The sequence below is a fragment of the Homo sapiens genome, chromosome 8 (genome assembly GCF_000001405.40).
Source record: "Homo sapiens chromosome 8, GRCh38.p14 Primary Assembly".
NCBI lineage: Eukaryota > Metazoa > Chordata > Mammalia > Primates > Hominidae > Homo > Homo sapiens.
The window spans coordinates 27,170,735-27,192,717 of NC_000008.11; the positions used below are offsets into that span (position 1 = coordinate 27,170,735).

Here is a 21,983-nt window from a genome sequence, read left to right on the forward strand (position 1 = left end):
AAAGTCACCTGCACTTTGAGGTTTATAGGTCATTTTCTCTCTGTCTCCTGTTAAGACTTTTTTTGTCTTTCAACTTTAACCATTTTACTGCTTGGGGCCCAGGTATGGATTTCCTCTGTCACACTTCTTTGGATTTGTTGCACTTATCAAATCTGTGACTTGAGTCTGTCATCAATTTGGGGAACATCTCAGCTAATTGTCTTCAAATATTGCTTCTGCCCTATGTGCTCTCTCTCCATCTGGTATTAAAATCACACAAGCACTTTCTTTGGGTTCCATGTGTCTCTTACACCCTCTTTCTATTTTATATCCTTTCGACTTTCTCAGAGTTTCAGTCTGTTTGTTTTCTACTGACCATTCCTCTAGTTCTCTTTTCAGCAATGTCTAATCTGCTTTTAAACCCACGATTGAATTTCTAATTTTAGTTATAGTATTTTTAAGTTCTAGATTATTTTATAGGTTCAAGGTCTGCGGTGAAATTTTCCATCTTGCCATCTTTTCCTTGAATATGTTAATCATGGTTATTACAAAATCTACTTCTGATCATTCCAATATCTAGATCACCTATGGGTTTGTACATATTGCCTTTTCTCTCCTTTTTTTCTAATATATTGTTCTGTGTCTTGGCATGCCAGGTAAATTTTTTTTTGAGTGCTGGGCATTATGTGTGAAAAACTATAGAGGCTCTGGATGGTAATATATTATCTTACTTCGAGGAGGGTTTATCTTTCTTCCAGCAGGCAGGTAGGATGAGAAATTTTACTTTTATCCAATCAGGAGCTGGGATGATACCAGGCTGTTCTTCAGTCTTTGTGAACACTAGCCTGTTCCCCCATTTGCCCTTTCCCCCGGGACATAGCCTTCTCTGGACAGGTCCTGAATGTCTAGTGTCTCTGGAGAAGACCCTGACCCCCTGCCATCCCCAAAGACCAGATCCCTCCGTGCGGCTCTTTGCGAAGACCTTTTCTCTTTGTGCGTTTTGTTGTTCTGGACTTTTCTGCCTTCATCAGAACCTTGCTGTCCCAGCTCATTCTTTATGAGACGCTCTCCCTTGAGTAGTAACGTTAGTTTAATTTCAAAAACTACTTTTTCAATGGTATGACATGGAATTCAATCCTATTCAGTGGAATGTGGCTAATGTATAATCTATCTGTTTTAACAAAGGTCTTTGATCTGCCTGCACTTTGCTGTGGGACACTGGACGAGTCACCATCCTACGGGGATTGTAAAAAGGGCTTGGTGTCCTCTCGCTCACACTTCGTAACTCCACGACCCTCATGGCGCACACCAGAGGAAAATCTTGTTGTGGTGAGTAAATTTAGACCGAACATAAAAAGGTTAGCAACAGCAAACATTCATATTTTTCCAAAGCATAGGCCAGCGTGGATAACATGGTAAAACCCCGTCTCTACTAAAAATACAAAAATTAGCTGGGCTTGGTGACATACGCCTATAGTCCCAGCTACTCGGGAGGCTGAGACAGGAAAATCGCTTCAACCCAGGAGGCGGAGGTTGCAGTGAGCCAAGATCACACCACTGCACTCCAGCCTGGGTAAGAGAGCAAGACTCCGTCTCAAAAACTAAAAAATTAAAATTAAAAAAATAAAAAAAGAGAATTCTATCAAGACTTGTTATCTGATAAAGTTACAGGCATGACTGAAAGCAAGGAATGAAAGGATCTTGGCTCAATTGTCCATGCCACAGTTACACATTACACAGGGTCACGTTCCAAAGTCTACAGCAAAAGATAACACGTAGGCTGGTAGGCTGTAGAAAAATATTCTCGAAGAGCCCTTAAGTAGCTAAAAAGGAGAGTATGCATAACTAGGGAGGAGACTGATTTTCCAATTCTTCATAGGTCCAAAAAAGTCCGTTTTTCTTTCAACAATAGAACTTAAGTTGACCACCAAAGTATTTGGTTTCTATTTAAAGGTTATATCATATTTTATTTAGTTAGTTAGCTAGTTATTGAGAAGGGGTCTCACTGTGTTGCCCAGGCTGGAGTGCAGTGGCGAGATCATGGCTCACTGCAGCCTTGACCTCCCCAGGCTCTGGTGATCCTCCCACCTTAGCCTCCCAAGTAGCTGGGACTACAGGCATATGCCACCATGCCCTGCTAACTTTTTGTAGTTTTTGTAGAGATAAGGTTTTGTCATGTTGCCCAGGCTGGTCTCAAACTCCTGGGCTCAAGCTATTTTCCCACCACAGTCTCCCAAAGTGCTAGGATTACAGGTACGAGCCACCATGCCTGGCTTTAGAGGTAATATTATATTTTAAAATGTACATCTAAACACTAAAATCACATTGATGCTACAAGAGACAAATAGGAGCTGAAACCATTTAGGGAAGAGTAGATTAAACCTCTCATTGTATATTTGGCAAGGGAGGTGTTGTGGGCATCAGCTCACTGAGGAGCATGACAATGGAAATTACCATTGCAGGTTTCCCTCCACAAGTGGGTAATTAAATTCCCATGAGTTAAGTGTGTATATTATGTGCTTTTTACTGAAACAGATTATATGGGTGAAGGGAGTAAAAGACTCAAAGGTAAGAGCTGCAGGTTATGGGATACAAATTAAATTAGCCAGGGCGCTGAAATTACTAGCTGTGCCACTGTTTCTCAAGTGACAGAAAAAGAACTTGGAGTTTAACATAATAATTCTATAAAAGATAAAAGAGAGATTGCATATCATGTGTCTCTATTACTATGAGGTATCACACTTATATTCTTTTGACAATTGAAATGCTTTTACTGATGCAGAAATAGAAGATCTAAGAGGGATCCCAGCCCATTCATGGGGACCTACTCTCTTCATCTAAGACTGCCCAACTCACTGCCCACATTTCCCACATGCTGGAAATTTGTTAAATGCCTTGAGTTGAGGGATCCTAGTTGTTCTGAGCTCTCTGTTATGTTTTCCCTCCACTTGGGCTTAAATATGCAAAGTAATAAGTTGCAATAATAATGGAAGTATGACTTGCTGAGATCAAATATATATATATATATACACATACACACACACATATATGTATATGTATATATACACATATATATGTTTACCAATATATGTACACACACATATATATATTGATGGTTACTTTTTGTGTCAGTGTGACTGGGCTAAGGGATACCCAGATAACCCAGGTAAAACATAATTTCTGGATGTGTCTGTGATGGTGTTTCTGGAAGAGATTAGCATTGGAATTGGTAAACTAAGTAAAGAAGATCATCCCCACCAATGTGGGTGGACATCACCTAGTGTGATGAGGACCCAAATACAGCAAAAAGGCAGAGGCAGGGTGAATTAGAAATTTGGCCTCTCTCTCCTTGAGCTGGGGCATCCATCTTCTCCTGCCCTCTGACATCTGAGATCCTGTTTTCCAGCCCTTCAGAGACTTGCAACATCACAAACCTCCTCCTCCTCTTCTCCTCCCTCTTCTTCAGCCCTCAGGCCTTGCACTGGGACAATGGGATGCCCACCGTTGACCAAGGGCTCCTTGGTCCTGGGCCTTCAGACTCAGTCTGAATTACACCACCAGCTTCCTCATTCACCTGCTTGCAGGTGGCAGATCTTGGGACTTCGCAGCCTCCAAAATCACATGAGCAAATTCCTATAATAAGTCTCCCCCCTCCGCCTCTCTCCCTCTCTCTCTCTCTGGAGAGAGATGGTTCTGTTTCTCTGGAAAACCCTGACACACACACACACACACACTCACACACACACATTTATACACACACATACACATACATACCATGATACTGGTGTCATTTTTATGAAAAATTCTTTACTAAAGAGGAAAGAACTAATCCACCACCCTTTTTACACATTGGGCAAGGGCAGGTGTAATTAAATTGAAAATATGCTCTTGATTGACTTCTAAGCAGCTCTGTTGAATGGAGCGGTGATTCCAAACACTGATCGACAGTCTTACAATCAACAGAGCAATGAAGCCAGGACACGAGCAACCAGTAAGAGGCTGTCCTGTGAGGGATGATAACTGCTTCTTGCTGCGTAGATGGAGAAGAATCTAGACATTGAGTTGTGACAAGTCCATGCCCGAAGCTGATTAGGCTGCTCACACAGCATGTGCATAAATGGCAATAATTAAGCTCCACTGGATAACAGCTGGGCTGTCACTTCCCACATCCTCCATGCTGGCCTGCCTGAACAGAGGCATTCATGCCTTGCCTGGCTTTATCTAAATTAGGCTCCTTTGTAGGAAATGATATCTGAAAGTAGCAATAATAACCAGAAGCAGTTACATTTTGTGTTGATGGGAAATATTAGTATAAATAACAAAATACGAAATGCATATCCAGTGGCTAATCTCTTGTGGGAACATTTCCATGGATGGACTTCCCACATTCTTACTTTCTTTGAAATGGAGATGTCAGCATCTTTCCCAGGACTCCGTTCCTGGGGGATTATGGTTGCTGGATTTATTTTGACATCATCATTTCACAATAAGAAGTGTCTAAAGAAAGAAGTGGCTATAGAATTGTCTAAAGAAAGACTTTGAAGACTTCACAAGATAATTACAAACCCATCAGGGGTGTCAGGTGGCCTGTAACAGTGGCTTAAAACTTGGGACATAGGTAAAGCTGTTAAGGAACAAGTCCTCTCATTCTTTCCTTTTTATTTTTTGATTAGTTGGTTGTGTTGACCAGAGATCACTAACGTATTGTATGATTGCCCTCATGCATACTGCGATTGGGTCACACACAAGGAAATTGTAAATGGTTTTCTATTTCACCCACCTGCCTATCTTTTACCCTTCCTTTAAACACATTTAACAGACTCTTGACTTTCAATTAAACTCCAATTTTTAAAATTCTACTCTAACACTTCCCATTTAAAGTGCAGTCATAACTGGGAGAGAACAAATCCATGCCAGGATGTGGCTGGGTCCTGAGTGATAAGCTCAGCTCTCGAAAGCCAGCCATGCCTCCCGCAGGATCCAGATCCCTTGGGGGCAGTTACAAGTAATACCACAGCTCATGGACTGCAGTTGCTCTTACACCTATAATGCCTCAGGTCTACTGTGCCCATGCACTATACTAGGGCTGAGGACAGGTATAAAAGCCACACTCTGTGCCTTCCAATACACATTAAAGGGAGAAGAGAGGCATCTGATATGGTTTGGCTGTGTCCCCACCCAAATCTCATCTTGAATTGTAGCTCCCATAATTCCCATGTGTTTGGGAGGGACCTGGTGGGAGGTAATTGAATCATGGGGTCAGTTTCCCCCATATTGTTATCATGGTAGTGAATAAGTCTCACTAGATCTGACGGTTTTGTGAGGGGAAACCTGTTTCACTTGGCTCTCATTCTCTCTTGTCTGCCACCATGTATGACATGACTTCCACCTTCCGCCATGATTGTGAGGCCTCCCGAGCCACGCAGAACTGTGAGCCCATTAAACCTCTTTTTCTTTATAAAGTACCCAGTCTCTGGTATGTCTTTATCAGCAGTGTGAAAATGAATTAATACAGCATCCTCGCTATATCATGCTGGATGGTAAATACTGGTTAGAGATTTACACAGGGTACTGTGGATCCTCTCCCAGCGATGGGAAGGTAGGCAGTGAGCAGAGATTGAGGAAGGTGCCCAAGATGCCCCTAGACCATGCCTGAGAGGTCTTTCTGTCTTTTCTATTTTTCTGTTTCTTCCTGTCCTACCATTTCTTCTTCCTCCCACTTCCTTCTTTTCTTCTTCTCCATATTTATTCATTCTCTTTTACTTTCCTTTTTCTCTTCTCATAGTTTTTCCTCTCCTCCCCTACTCAGACCTCCATTTTACTACCTGCCCCCACTACTCAAATGGGCAATGCTTAGGAATGTTGAATTTCTTATTTTCTCTAAATACCATGTTTTTTTCATGTCTCTGGACTTTGGCACATACACAGACAAGCACACCATGTGATCTAAAAATGTTAGGATATAATCATAATGTAACACTTCCCAGCTAAACATCAATCTCATCCATTTCAAGCCTGATGTTTAGTAAGAAATAAAATATGGCAAGGGGGCAAAAAACAAGTTCACTTATATCTGAGCTGTTCTCTGCTGAGTAATATAAACAAAATATTTTAGTTGAAAAGTCTCACTCCAAATATGAGTTATATTTTTAAAAAGGAAAAGGCAAAATAGACTTTTGTGGATATACAGAAATCAGTAAGCATCAAAACCATTGGTTTGAAACTAACATAAATCATCTACCTTTAGCCTGACCTTTTATAGTGCTTGTGCTATTGGCATTCTGGGGGGAGAATTTATTGTTCAGACTGCCTTTGTATCATCAAAAATTAAAAACTTTTATACTTCAAAGGATACCATCAAGAAAGTAAAAACAAAAAAAAACAGAATGACAGAAAAATTTTATAAACTATATATCTGATAAGGGGCTTGTATCTAGAATGTATAAAGGTGTCTTACTATTTAATAACAAAAAGGCAAATAACCCAAATTTAGAAATGGACACAGGACCTAAATAGATTTTTCTTTAAAGAATATACACAAATGGCCAATTTTCACATGAAAAGACATTCAACATCATGAGCCATCTGGGAAATGCAAATCAAATCCACAATGGGATACCACTTTATATCCACTAGGATGGCTATAGTAAAAGAAACACAATAACAAGTGTCGGAGAGAATATGGAGAAATCAGAACCCTCGTGGACTGCTAGTGGGCATGCAAAACAGTGTAGCTGCTTTAGAAAACAGCCTGGCAGCTCCTCAAAATGTTAAACATAGAGTTACCACATGACCTAGCAATTATCCTCCTAGGAACATACCCCAGAGAAATGAAACCATGTGTCTACACAAAAACTTCACATGCATGTTCATAATATACATAGCATTAAAGAGAGTCAAAAAATGGAAACTATCCCAAAGTCCATTAACTGAAGATTGGATAAAAAAAAATGTGGTATATCCATGCAATAGAATATTATTCTGCAATAAAAAGAAATACAATGCTGATACATGCTACAACATGGATGAATTTTGAAAACATTACACTAAGTGAAAGAAGCCAGTCACAAAAGACCACCTATTGTATGACTCCATTTATGTGAAATGTACAAAAAGACAAATCTATAGAAAAAGACAGTAGATCTGTGGTCACCTAGAGCTGGGAATAAGGGGAGAAATGGGGCATAATAATGGTTATTATTCTTGTGATACTGAAAATGTTCTAAAATTGATTGATTGGCTGCACAGCTAAAAGCCATTGAATTGTACACTTTAAGTGTGTGAATTATATGGTATGTGGATTATATCTCAATAAAGCCTTTAAAAAAAAAAGACTTCCTGGGACATTATAGAACTGATCCCACACCACCCACCCCAACTCTAAATGCCGGTAGCACTCCTTCTGTCATTGTGACAAACCACTCAAACAGCACAGAAATTTCCAAATTCCCCCTGATTGAGGGAACACACTTCCCCCCTATTGAGAATTACTGGAAAAGAATAATGCTGAGGCTGGGTGCGGTGGCTCACACCTGTAATCCCAGCACTTTGGGAGGCTGAAGTGGGTGGATCACCTGAGGTCAGAAGTTCTATAGATGGTGAAACCCCATCTCTACTAAAAATACAAAAATTAGCCAGGCGTGGTGGCAGGTACCTGTAGTCCCAGCTACTTGGGAGGCTGCGGCAGGAGAATCGCTTGAACCTGGGAGGCAGAGGTTGTAGTGAACCGAAATTGTGCCACTGCACTCCAGCCTGGGTGACAGAGCAAGCCTCCATCTCAAAAAACAAACAACAACAACAAAAAACAAAAAAAAAAAAAACGAAATAAAAATAATAATAATAATAATGCTGAATGAGGTGACGAACGAGCACAATGGGGATGCCCAAGGCTCTTGCCATCAGGTACTCATGCAACGACGAAAACAAAAGTCTTCTCCACTGTTTTTTCTCTAAATTACAGGACAGTCTACAATCAGGAAAAATAAAATGAACCTTCCTTTAAAACATCCTATATGTTTCTTTCAAAAATGCATTGTGACATTTTCAAAATTCATTTCCTTTCAAAATGCATTCTTTCAATGCACTGGCATTGTGACATTGGGAGCAATCTCACATTAATTTTTCTGAGGCTACTTTCATTTCCAAAATAGCCAAACATTTTAATCTCTGAAATGGGGGTGTTTTCAAACCCATAATCTAGATAGGAAATGATTTCTGACAGCCTGTAAGAGTGTCTGTGACACAGTGCTTCCACGGCTCTCCAGTAAAGAGTAATCTAATTGAGAGAAAATATATTGACAATCATACAGGCAGAGAAGAGGGTGAATATGGAGTGAAAGATTAGAAGGAATGATCTCAGCTCAACATCATCAATGCTTATGTAACAAAAAGAGGTCAAACGTGGAATAAGAAAAGTCAGACCAATGAATTATGTGATGATTTAGTGAGTGAGAGCCAGAAACTACCTGAGTATGACTGTGTTATTATACTGGCCTGTAGGAATGACAGCCAGTGCATAGGACTTAATATATTAATCATAGCCCTTTAATCTCTGTACATGCTGATTACCCTCCTCTCTTAGGCTTTGGAGTTACATTTTTTCATCACACACACACAAAAATGTTTTATTTGAAAGGGATAACCCCATTCCGCCCAAAATTGATGCTGTAAGTTGGGTGGGGCTAAGGGTGGAGTCAAAGCTATCCCTACATGTAGGCCAGTGGCTAATTCTTATCCTAAATGACAAAAGACCTGAGTAATAGATGATGTGTAGATACATGTGTTGGCAGAACATTTGTCACCCATGGGCTGTGACATGGGGAGGGCAAAGACCAGTGATGGGGTTCCAATTTGGGAAGACATTCAATTGGCATCCACATGTATGAGGGCCAGGCCTAGGAGATTCTAAACATGCAGCCAAAGCAGGAGTGACTTGAGAAGACAGATGAGAAACAGGAGATTGGGGTAGTTGTGGTTAAGAGTCTAGACTCAGAAGCTAGACTGGTTGGCTTTGAATTTTAGCTCTTCCCATCTCTCATTGTGTAATGCTGGAGAAGCCACTTAACATGTCTGTGCCTCACTTTTTCCGTCTGTAAAATGGGGATGGTAGACAGTCTCTACCTCAAAGGCTTAATGTGAGGCTTTATTGAGTTACTCACCCAAAGCACATTGAAGGGTGTCAGGCGCACAGAAATCCCTGGAGCTTTATTATTCCACCAGGAAAATCTGCTACCAGCTGTTCTCCCTATGTACTCCAACACATTGCCCACTAGATGCCCATGTTGGGGCTGCTGGGAGTGATGGCTTTTCCTTCCTCATAGGAAAACACACCAGGACTAGGGCTATTGGAAGAAGCCAGAAAAGTGATTTCTTGCACCTATTTATTCTCTTGAGGGCCATTCCCCACTGTAGCTGGGAAATGGTCTCATGAATGCCCAAGCCAGAAGGAATTTTAGGGATGTGAGCCCAATTCACCCATTTGCAGATGAGACAATGTGCTCAGAGAGGTGGTATGAGTTGCCCAACATCACTCAGCTGTTACAGCAAAAGTGAGCGTAGACCCTAGCCACTCACTTTAATACTTTTTTCTATTTCACCATGATCTGGGGCTAGATCTGAATGATTCAGCCTTCCAAATGGAGGCACAGTGGCACCAACCTAGTGGGCTGGGTGTGTGGTGCTCATAGGATCCGTCAAAATCCTGGGCAGTTCATCCCTCAAGCTCCCTCTTCATCATCCCAAGATCTCCAGGAATGGCCCAGCTGTCACCTGGGGACCTGAAGGACCCAGGAGGACTCCACAGAGCCTCTTGCCCAAGATGTGAGTTTGGAGACACAAGTGCCTCTCTGGAGTAAGGGTAAGCCCAGAAAACGCCATTATGCACTTTCTCAGGAAACTTCAGCAACTGCAAGCAGTGGAGATGATGCAAGTCAAAGGAGAAACCACCCAAAAGAGGGGACAGTTTAAACTTAAACAAGCACAGCCTTCAGAGAGCCCCCACCCTATGCCGAGAGTGCCTCAGTCCTTCCCAGCAGGGAGTCCACCTTCATATCATGCACGGCAGGGATGACTGCTTTTTTCCAGCCCTCTGAAGTTACATGATGATTCCCTTTGGGGGCTATCATGTGACAGGGCAAACTGAAATACTTGTTTTGCAAACTTCACCCCAATGAGGGAGACTACGGAAAAACATGTCAGCAAGTGCCTGTGGATATTGTGCTTTGGAAGCTTAAGTGCCCTCTGGATTTCAAGGGAGTGGATTTCATGAACCCTTGACAGATTGTCAAGCCAAGATAGGGGGTCAAGTCTAAATGCGGAACTTACCATCTGACTTTTGAAAGGCACTTGCATAGGAACAAAGGTTACCCTTTGTTGAATTTGTTAAAACAATTAGAGGCAGTAATTAAATGTTTCAACCCAATTTCACATATCAAATTTAGTCCTAATTCCAGCTCTTCATGAGAAGAAACCATCTTCAGCCTGCAGATATATTTCATTTCAGGTCCTTTGGTTCAGGAGCCCATGAGGGAATTAACCAAAACCCTGGTTATTAAAAAAAAAAAAAAAGCAAGGGATTGAGCCCCAGTTAAACTCCCACACAGTTGTGGCAAGTTTTGATTTACCTGGTGCTTCTAAACAGATGCTTCTGAATTCAAGGCCATGTACCTTGAACCAACAGATGGTTCTGAAAGGTCATGAACTATTTTGGTGTCCTAACTGGTATTTACTGACACATGGTTACCTATACAGGGGACATTACAAGCAAAGAAATCCTCTTTGGGGCCCAAACCCAAGGATCAGCCCCAAGCCATGATGGACCAGTATCCATAACCTAGATCAGTGGCTTATAAAACTTTTTGGCCTCGGGACTTCTCTGCATTCTTAACAATTGATTCACAGCCCCTAAAAGCTTTTGTTTATGAGAGCTATATTTGTCAATATTTACCATACTAGAAATTAGAACTAATAACATTCTTAATATGTAGTGATTCATTTAAAAATAACAATAAACCCATCACATATATAAACATACATAACACATTTTTATCAAATATGAGAACAGATTCTAAAACAAAAATAATTAGTGAGGACAATGGCATTGTTTAACATTTTTGCAAATCTTTCTAATGTCTGGCTGGAAGACACCTAGAATCTCATATTTGCTTCTGCATTCAATCTGTTGCAATATGTTGTTTTAGTTAAGCTATATGAAAAAAAATCATATATTTAATTGGAAAATAAAGAAGTTTATAAATTTTTTTAGATAATTCTGGATATTATTACTGCTACACAAAAGTTCAACAAATAGTAATTTCTTAAGGCAAAAAAAGATATAAAATTGGGTCAATTAACTTTTTGCTCATTAATGTGGCTTAACATCCATGGTCTATCTTGCATTTTGCATGGATCTTTTACTCATGTTTGATTTCAGACCATCACACAGTAGTTGTTTGGAAAATATTGATTCACTAAGTTATGCATGTCTTCCAAATGTTGACACATTTCCATATTACAGTAACAAAAAATCACATTTGTTATTATCACTTCTGGTCTCATCAGAAATGTGTTTAATGTTGGGCAGCTGTCAGGCTAACAGTGATGGATGTAAGGTTTGCAAAATTCCATTTTTCTAATGTCTAAATATTCTGTTGATAGTTTGAATTGCATCATTGGCAACAAATCCATTCCGTGCATATGTCAACACATTGGAAAAGATAAAAAATTTCTTGGTATATACTGAAAATAGTTTTATTTAACAGATCCTTCTGAAAGGGTTTCGGAAAGTCCCCCCACCAACAGCGTTCTGTAGACTACACTTTGAAAAGCACTGGTTTATATGAAAGGTTGGTCTAAGGGCTGCCCCATGCCCCTCCACCTGTATCTCACCTTGGTTCCCAATGTGGCTTAAATGGAGGAAAAGAAATGTTTTTCTATTCCCTAGCCATATGAAACAAATTCCAAAACAAGAAATAGCTGTCTAAATGGGGAAAGAGATTGTATGAACCAAGAAAGCAAGCCATATAGAAGAAAGAACACTTAACCACTTGACTCCTCTCCCAGAAAGCCCATAATAAGCAGGTGTTCCTAGACTGCTGACTGGTACAGCCATATCCTTCCTGGTACAAGAGTAATTGACAGAGAAATCTAGAGCACATCCTCGGCTCCCAACAGCTATAGCATGAAAATTTCATTCCCTGCACTTCTTTAAAAAAAAAAAACGCATTTATTCTTAATATAAGGAGCGAGATCCAAAGTCTACCAAAGGTTCTAGTACTTCCATTAGGGAAGTAATCAGCAAAATTCCAAAAAAAGACCTGCATCTAAGTGAGACTGTTTCTTATCTTTTCCCTTTGTCCTAAGATCAGTATCTCAAGACGGTTTTCAAATGACTCTTTGATGCTTTCCCCAGAAGTTGTTTTACTATTTTATTTTCCAAAGTAACTTTTGGTTTTAAAATTGTATTAGGCATATTTTCAAACATACTTAGAAGTGTTAAAATGATTAATTGGGGGGTGGGTGGGCATTAGGCTAAGACAGCTCCAGCACCTTGGGTTCCCACATAAGCACACCAAAACCCAACTCAATGTAAACAGTGAAGGGAAACTTGAGCTTAACCAATCAGAAACTGCCAACTCACCTCTAACTGGAGACTTTACCAATCAGGAACCTCCAACTAACCTCTAATTAGGTATTTTCCACTTTAGCCAATCAAATATTTCCTTTATCTTTCTTCCAGGAACACTCTATAAAAGTTCCCCCTTCACACTCCTACAGTGGAGCACTGAACCACTTGAGGTCTGGTGTTGCCTGTTTCATGAATCACTGAATGCCCAAATAAATTCACTGAGATTTTAATGTGCCTAAATTTTTCTTTTAACAGCAGTTAAGAAAATAAAGAACCTCCATATAGTCTTTACCTAGATCAACAATTATTAAAATTTTGCCCACATTTGCTTCAGTTATTTCTTTTTTACTTTCTTTTTTCTTCTTCTTCATTGAAGTATTTTAAAGCAAATTCCAGACATCAAGTCATTTCACTGTACATAATTCAAAAGGCATTTCTAAAAACATTACTTATGTAACCAAGATGCCATTATCACATGTAATAAAGTTAACAGTCATTCCTTTGTTTCCTGTAATACCCAGTCCATAAAAAATGTTCCCAGGTGTCTCAAAAATGTCAATTACATTTCATTGATTCAAATCAGAATCCAAACAAGGTCCACTCATTACCTTTAATGGTTATGTCTGAATTCTCTTTTAATCTAGAGGTTTTCTTTCTTAGTTTTTCGTGTGCCAGTCATTGACATGTTGCAGAAACTGTTAACCGCATATAAAATGTTCCATGTTCTGTAATTGTTTCCTTATGGTGTTTGCTTGTTTCTCCATCTTCTTTGTGTTTCCCGTAAATGGTAGTTAACCCTGCACGTTTTATTAGATTTAGGTTCAATTATTTTTTTTTGCAGGAATCCTTCATCAGTAGTGCTGTGAGCTTCATATCATATCACACCAGGAGGTATACAATCTCTAGACATCCCGTGGTTAGTGATGCATGACCGATCAATGAATTCAGAAGGTGGCAGTCTGATCTCCTCTCCTCCCCCGCTATAAAGCTTCCCATCAACCTTTCACCTAGTGCTTCATCTATTGGTGATCATGAACTGCTGCAAAATGGTGAGTCTTCATTTCATGATTGCCTTCACAGCTTTAGCTGGAGCTCTTCTCTAATAATGGACGCTTTATCTCATCATCTAGATAAGATAACTCTTATCAGGCTTTGTGATAACTCTGAAATATAGGTCATATGAAAAGATGGAATAAATGTCTAATTCTTTACTTTTAGTTCCTGGCTTTTGAGACAAGTTGCTTTTACTTTTGTTCCTTCCAGTGGTGTTCAATGAGCTTTTTCTTAAGTATCATTTTGAACTCTTGGCTTTCTATACAGCAAGTATGTTTCAACCAGTTGCATTCATTATTCTTTTTAATATTCATATATCTCATCTTTGGCCAATGGGAGCCCCTTCTTTTTTGGCACCTGTGTGTTTTGAACATGTACTATGCATCTTTTTTAGCTTACTTTTAGGCCCAATGGAACATTCCAGGGTCTTAATATATATTTCCTTTCTCACAACGGCATTCAGTTATTCTCCAGGGTTCTTGGTGTTCTCCAATAGCAATAATATTTAAGATCACAGTCTCAGTCAATGGAATGTACCCGTCGATTATGGGCTGTCATTTCTTTTTAGCCTTTTCAATGGACAAATCTAGAAAATATGTAATTTTGAAATAAAAATTTCAAAGGTTCATACTAATATTTCCTGTTCAGGTATTATAGAGCTTTACTTACATTCTCTAATTTTTCACTTACGCTTCCCTTTTTACACTGAAAATTTGGCTTTCAAACATTCCTAATATAATTATTTGTTTGTAATATCTTATCATATGCTTAAAAGAGATTCAAAATAATAATTCCAATGTTACCCCTAACAAACTATGGAATCCAACTTAATATAATTTTGCTTTTTTATGTTTCCTTACTATGTATTTCACTAAAAATGTATAGTCAAAATACTGTTTTAAATATTAAGACAGAAATAATTTTTTTCTATCTGTGGTTTATTTAAAAACTAGTTGTTAGTGTTTACTTTAGGTTGTTTTTCATTTTTAGATATAGTTTTTAAGTATGTAATACATTTATAGGTTTTGGAAGCCAAAATTACATAACAAAATGTATATTCAGAGACGTTTCACCTCCAAATCTACCCCACGCATTTTCCTGTTTCATCTATAACTGGATAATTTTCCACTTTATGAATGTGCCATCCATCATCAAGTCCTTTACGCTACATTTTTATGGTGTCACAATTGTTGTAGTGTACAACCTTGAATATTAGCTATTTAATAGCTTTTCCCATAATGTTTTTGGGATAGAGCCTTAGAACTGGAATTACAGGGTCAACTGATCAGTGACTATGATATTTTGATACTATGATACTGCCAAATTCATCTCTGCAAATGTTACACCATTCTGACTTCCCGTCAGCAATGTGTGAGACTGCCCATTTCCCACAGCTTGCCAATGAACAAAGCTGAGCATTTTTTGGCCGTATGTTAAACACCATGTTCATTTCCTCTTCTGTGAAGTGTCGGTTGACATTTTTTGCTCATTTCCCAGAAGCTCCTTTAAGATTGTAATTACCATTTCACTTAAATTAACCCCCAAATCATATTATATCCTAGACTAAGAAATCCATCTACAATCTATTTCCATTCTCAAATTTTGTCACTATGTTACCCAACAAAGGCAAAAAGATAGGCTTTTACAAAGTGCATCACCACAGTCAAAAACTGCAATGTCAGCAGTATAAGATGCCCACTCCATTAAATTTCATCCTCATAGCAGCTCTGTAAGGGAATATTACTATTACCGCAATAATTTGAGGAAATTAAATTTTAGAAATATTAAATAACAAATCTAAGATTACGCAGTTAATAACAAAGCCAAGACTCAAATCCAAGTCTCTTTCACGCCAAATTTTATTCTCTTTATGCTAGGCATTGCCTAGTGTTGTCTGCCTTATTACTGTTTTAAACTTCATCCAGTAGCTCCTAACCTTTTTAATTTTTTATATCTTATTTCCCCAACTAAATTATAAGCTCCATGAGACGGCATTTTAAATATACAGTTGTTTAGGTCTGTCAAGTTCAAACTGTCTGTAGAGTGTAGCCATATACTTCTCTGTAGATGGATATTAATTTTTTTTTTTTGAGACAGGGTCTTGCTCTGTCACCTGGGCTGTAGTGCAATGGTGTGATCATAACTCACTGCATCCTTGAACTTCTGCTCTCAAGTGATCCTCCCACCTTAGCCTCCCTAGGAGCTGGGACTACAGACATACACAACAATGCCCAGCTAATTTTTTTAACTTTTCGTAGAGACAAGTTCTCACTATGTTGCCCAGGTTGGTCTCAAACTCTTGGGCTCAAGAAATCCTTCTGCCTCAGCTTCCCAAAGTGTTGGGATTACAGGCATGAGCACTGTGCCTGGCGATGTTTTTTCTATCAAGCCTATATTATATATGTATTGTGTGTGTGTGTGTGTGTGTGTGTGTACAACAGGTATACGTATATGTGTGTGTATATATTATATACATATTATACACACACACACACACACACATACACATATACATACATATTCCTTCCTGTCTACACAACTAGGGAATGGTGCGTGTGTAGAATGATGAGTAAACCAGATAGTTTTGGAAAATTAATAATCGCAGCAAGGCTGTACAAGGGCTGCCTGATCAGCATTCACCTAGTATAACAAGTGAGTTTTAAAACGTGAGATTAGGCAAATACCCCGAGAGTGGAAATAGCTATTCAAACTAGACCACAAAGTCAGATAGGTCTGACTTTGAAACTTCTGGAAACCTACTAATGTGAGGAATGCATAATAAAGCATTTGATAAATTGAGCCAATACCTCCTGATTCGAATTTGATATGTTAGAGTAAGTGGTTGGGGGAATATCTCCGAGGACAGAGGCATCAGAGGAGTGAAAGGGGAGAGAAGCAGGGGAGTGTATTTCGTATATCACCAAGTCTGGGCCACGCTGGAAACAGTTACAGGCATCATCAAGATATAAGAGCCCAGAGTGGGACAAATGTGAAAGCCATTTCTGATCTAACAACAACTATAATTATAAGATGCACAGATATACATACACAATATCATCTAAATATAAAGCCCTTATTTATATGCTTATTTATGTTCTTAGAAGAGAAGTGAGAATATAGCTGAACTTAATTCCTTGTTTTGAAGGGGCGTGGTGCCCAAAAGTTACCATTTTACTCACCTCTGCCAATTAACAAAACATTGGGGGAAATTAAAAGTAAACAGCTAAATTCTATCAAAAATAAAATGTACCTATCATGTTTTTAAGAGGTATATTTAAAGATAGTGACATCAAATATTTAACACTTATGGAACATATAAATGTCATTTGTGCAAGATAAGCTAAAAAATGAAGGTTATATCATTAATATCATAGTTGAGTTTAATGCAAACAATGTGAAATAAGCCAGGAAGGCCACTTTAAACTGGTAAAAGGTACAATTCACAATGAACACGTGTTGTGAATGTTATGTGCTGGATCTCTCATCTCCAACTGCTCTTTTTCTAGCTGCGTCTGCTCCAAGCACACTGGTTTACTTCTTGTGTGAACACACCAGGAGTGCTCCTGCCTCAGGGCCTTAGCACTTGCTGTTCCTGTTGCATGGATTGCTCTAGCCTCAGAGAGCTGCAGCCTGACACCTTGACCTCCTCAGATCTTTGCTCAGCTATTGTCTGACAGTGAGGTCTTCACTGACCGCCCTATTTAAAGTTGTAACTCCCTTCCCCTGACAACAACCTGTTCTATTTCCCTGTCTTATTATTCCTTATAATCCTTATCTGCACCTAGCATACAAGTTGTTTTACTTATTTATATTATTTATTGTCTGTTTGCCTCCAGCGGAATGAAAAGTCCCAGGGATTATTTATCTATTCTATTACTAGACTAAGAACTAGTAGAGTTCCTAGCACATATTGGGTGGTCAATAAAGAGCCTTCAATGGTGGAATGAATAAGTTATATTGTATTAGAAATAGAAAGAGAATTTTATAGAAAACAGTAGTAAGGAGGAATTTAAAATAGCAAAAAAATAAAAACTTAAGAAGATTACAGAGGCTAAGTAATGTAACTAAGGTTGACTCAATAGCTATACTATGTATCAAACTTTAAATCATACATGTGTATTTTTAAGCAAACATGGAACATTTACATTAACTTGTCACATATTAGGCCACAAAATAATTTCAATGTGTTTTTCAAGGAGAGTTTGTACAGGATGTGTTTGTAAAATTATTATAATAAAAATGGAAATTAATAACCAATGGAGAAGTAAAAATAACCTCTTCCAAATAATTACTGAATCAAAGAGTATATCAAAACTGCAATTACCAATTATTTACAAAATGAAACCATGAGAACCTGACATATCAAAATGGGTGAATTTCCATCAAAGATATACTCGTAGGAAAATTGAATGCCTTAACATTTTCATTCCTAAATCAGTAAGAATGAAATAAATGAACTAAACATTCAGTTGAGGAAATTGGAAAGTGAACCCCAAAACGAACTTCAACAAAGTGGGATTATATTGATAAATTTTAATTTTTTTAATATTTTTAAAAATTATTCTATTAATGAGCTGAAATAAATATATTTATAAATATACACAAGTGTTAGTTCTTTGAAAAAGAAAATAACATGGAAAAATTTCTGGCTAGTCTACTCAAGAGAAAAAGTAAAAGCAAAAGTCCACAGTTATATAACGTAGGAAAGGGAAAGTGGATGTATCTATATAGAAAAATTAGACATTACAATAAAATATAATACTCACTGCTTTCACATGTTAACATTTACTGAAGGGTTTCTATCAACAGACACTTGTCTTCTCACTTGGTTTTCAAAAGCCCAGTGACATTGCAGGTGGGATTAAATATACAAGGGATTTATTGAGGGAGAACACCTGTGAGAGGCTAATGGAAGAGTGTTGAAAAAGTCCAGGAAAGTCATCACGTGGAGGGGCAGAGTTGACTCTTGTGGAGGAGAAAGGGAAGGAAGGAGGGAAGGAAGGAAGGAAGGAAGGAAGGAAGGAAGGAAGGAAGGAAGGAAGGAAGGAAGGAAGGAAGGAAACTGGAATAGAATGAGCCTTAGACTGTAATGCAGTTATAAGATAGTCTGGGCAAGGCTGATGGGAGTCCTCAAGGGAAAGAGAGTACCCACTAGAGGAGCCCCTGGCATCTCAGAACCTGGACTGCTTTAGAATCCCTGCTTTGCTCTGTCATCGCTGGGAGCACCTGTGGGAAGCCTGGCCTCAGCTTGGACACTATTGGATTTAGAACATAGCACTTCAGGGACATAAAGGAGACTTGAATAATTGTAGAAAAATGCCATTCTACTCCTACATGAAAATATTCAATGAGTCAAAATTTCACTCCTCCTCAATTTGGATTACACAATTCTATAAAATATCCAATAGAATTTGGAAATGACCTAGAAAATTGTTTTTAAAGTTTTTCTTTTGTTCTGGATTGCTAACTTCATGGTTGGCCATGATAAATTTGAGCCAAAATAAAATTATTTTAGAAGAGTTATTCTATTTTATTTTAAAGCATAAAAGTATATTTATTAAAATAATACTGGAACAGGTATGAAAATATAGATTAGTGGGACAGAAAAGAAAATCACAGAAAACTGTAATATATGCACAAGGATGTATTATGTGTTAAAGAAATTTAGAACATTCAATGTGGAAAAAAGAAGGATTACACAAAAATACTAACAAATAACTGGTTTGTAATAATTTAAAATCAGAATCTTACCTCAATCCATACATCCAAATGAATTCCAGATGGAGTAGTTAAACTTAGGGCAGGAAATAAAATCCAAGAGTTTCAGAAGAAGCAACAGATAAATATTTATATAACTGTGTGGTAGGGGAAAATTTTCCAAACATTAAACCAAAAACAGAGGCCTTAAAGGAAAAAAAATACTAGATTTAACTAAATAAAATTTTTAAATATCTGTGCATCAGAAAATGACAAAACAAAAATAAATAAATATAACTAATTGGGATAAATATGTCCCAAACTATTTCAAAAGTTAAATAACCTCCTGATATGAAGAGCAAGAGTAAATTAATAAGAAAAAGGTAAACATTCCAATAGAGCAAATAAATAAGGGATGTTAGCAGCGAATTCACAAAGTAAGAAATATAGACGCAAAAAATTATTTTTCATGTGTTTAGTCTTACTAATAATGAAAGAAATACAAATAAAACCAATGAAATTCAATTATTGGAATCTATGTTTGAAAAGATGATGCTATCCTGGAATGGTGAGGGTAGAGAAAATGGTATAGCGTTGGTGTAAAGTGTGAAGTGGATTAACTTTATGCGAGGTAGTTTGGCAGTATATTTCAAAAGTCTTAGATTTTTATATCCTTTTTGAGCTAACAATTCTTGGAATGTATCCTAGGGGATTAATTATGAATGTATGCAAAAAACTTGTCCTCATGGGTAAACACCCCCTCACTGTTTTTGTAAGTCAGTACACACATTTTGAGAAAGAAACAGTCAAAATACTCATTGTCAAAAAATATTAATTTGATTAGTTATGATATGTGCTTACAAATGAATATTAATACAACCATTGAAACACACTGTTGTAAGAGAAAAATTAATAACATGAAAAAATGTTAATGACACAATTTCAAATGGAAAAAGCAGATTACAAAAAGTATACGCCAAATGATTCAATTTTAGAAATACTTTAGAATATATATGCAAAGACAGGTACGCATGCATAGAACAAAGATTGGAAAGCTATCGAATAAAATGCTAACTGTTTTTACCTAAGTGGTAGGATTATTTTTAGTTTTTTCTTTTTGCTTATCTATACTTGCCAAATTTCATATAATAAACATGTGTTGCTTTTCTAAAAAGCCAGTAAAAGTTACGTTAAAATTTTTAATTCACTTGAAAAGTGTCTTTCCTATAGATACTATCTGTGACAATAACAGCATCCAAGCAGGAAGGGAGAGGGGCAAAGTCCATCATTTGTCCAAACTGATTTCTCTTAGCATATGGAATTTACATTTTTGTCCCATGGGAAAACCTAGGGGACAAAAACCTAGGGGGACATTTTAAAAAAAATGGGACTCCCAGTCTCCAGGTCATTTTTGTGCAACCTCCATCCCTAACTCCTATATTTTAAACTCATGATTTTCCTTTAGGTTTTCCTTGGGTTGCTGTGTTCCAAGCGTAAACTGAATATGAGTTTGTCCACAATTCTGTCCTGTGACTCTGACATCCACACTTTTAAAAGTTAGCATTCCAAGGAAATTAGTGAGCATACATTCCCACTCTTCAAAGCTCATTTTTTAAATAGCTCTCCACCCCAAGGCTCTCTCTGTCCCTGTGTAGCTACTGTTGATGCTTCTGAGATTCATGAGAACAGTGTTTCCTCTGCCAAATGTTCCTAGTTGCAACCTTCCAGTACTCCCCAGAGCTTTAGACACCTTACCTGCACTTATTACAGCACAAATATCCTCTAAGACCCTTTAATCCAGCTACAGTAGAACATGACTTGATTTCCCCGGAGTATCATATCAGTCCCTTAAATCTGCATGATAATTTAGAGAAAGTATCAACCCCTTAAAATCAAAGTTCTCCAGTTCAAAATTCTGTGTGTTTAGGGGTGACTCCACCACCAAGTTAGAAAAGGATCAACCACACCTCATCCTACATCCTTCTCCTATGATGATCTACTCCAGATGCACAGTTACGTTTGCACCTTGAGTGAGCCTGTCCTGGCCATTCACTCGCTTATTCATTCAATAAATATCTACTGAGCACTTACTTTCTCCTGGACACTACACTAGGCACTAAGTAGACATTGTGAAAGAAAGCCGATGGGGTTTCTCTTTTGCAGAGTGTATACTCTATTGAAGGAGATATCAAATGAACGAACAAATTCTTAAACATTGTGATAAATGCCAACATAGCTACTACAGTGATGGAGCAAAATAGAAAAAAAGAGATTTATTTAAACAGAAAAAGAAGGCTTGCCTCTCTGAGGAGGTAGCATCTCAGCTGGGACCCAAAGGGTGAGAAAGAATATAATCTGTGATGAGGGCATGCAGGCTGGGCTGCTGTTGGCCAATGCATGCCTAGTCCTTTCCTTGTGCTGCCAGATGTCCATCATGATTGGCTGAAGTTCATGCCAAATTGGAGGGCCTCTGCCATACTGAAATGTTTGAATATCACTTCTGGATACAAGTTAACAGAATAGCATGAGCAAAACTTGTGCAGCAGAAAACTTACCAACATGTTTAAGAAATCTAAAATCAGCTGTCATGAATGGTAAGTAGTGAGGGGGAGGCATAAAGCTATGGTGA

General features: G+C 38.1%; 1 long non-coding RNA gene across 1 annotated transcript in view; it reads left to right on the forward strand.

The window, feature by feature from the left end:
* Positions 1-854: 854 nt before the first annotated feature.
* The window catches only part of LOC105379340 (uncharacterized), a 39,195-nt gene continuing 18,066 nt past the window's right edge, over positions 855-21,983 (forward strand). The window contains exons 1-3 of the long non-coding RNA XR_949607.3: positions 855-972; positions 1,165-1,308; positions 13,446-13,653. This is a non-coding gene — a long non-coding RNA (uncharacterized LOC105379340). The remainder of the gene's footprint in view (positions 973-1,164; positions 1,309-13,445; positions 13,654-21,983) is intronic.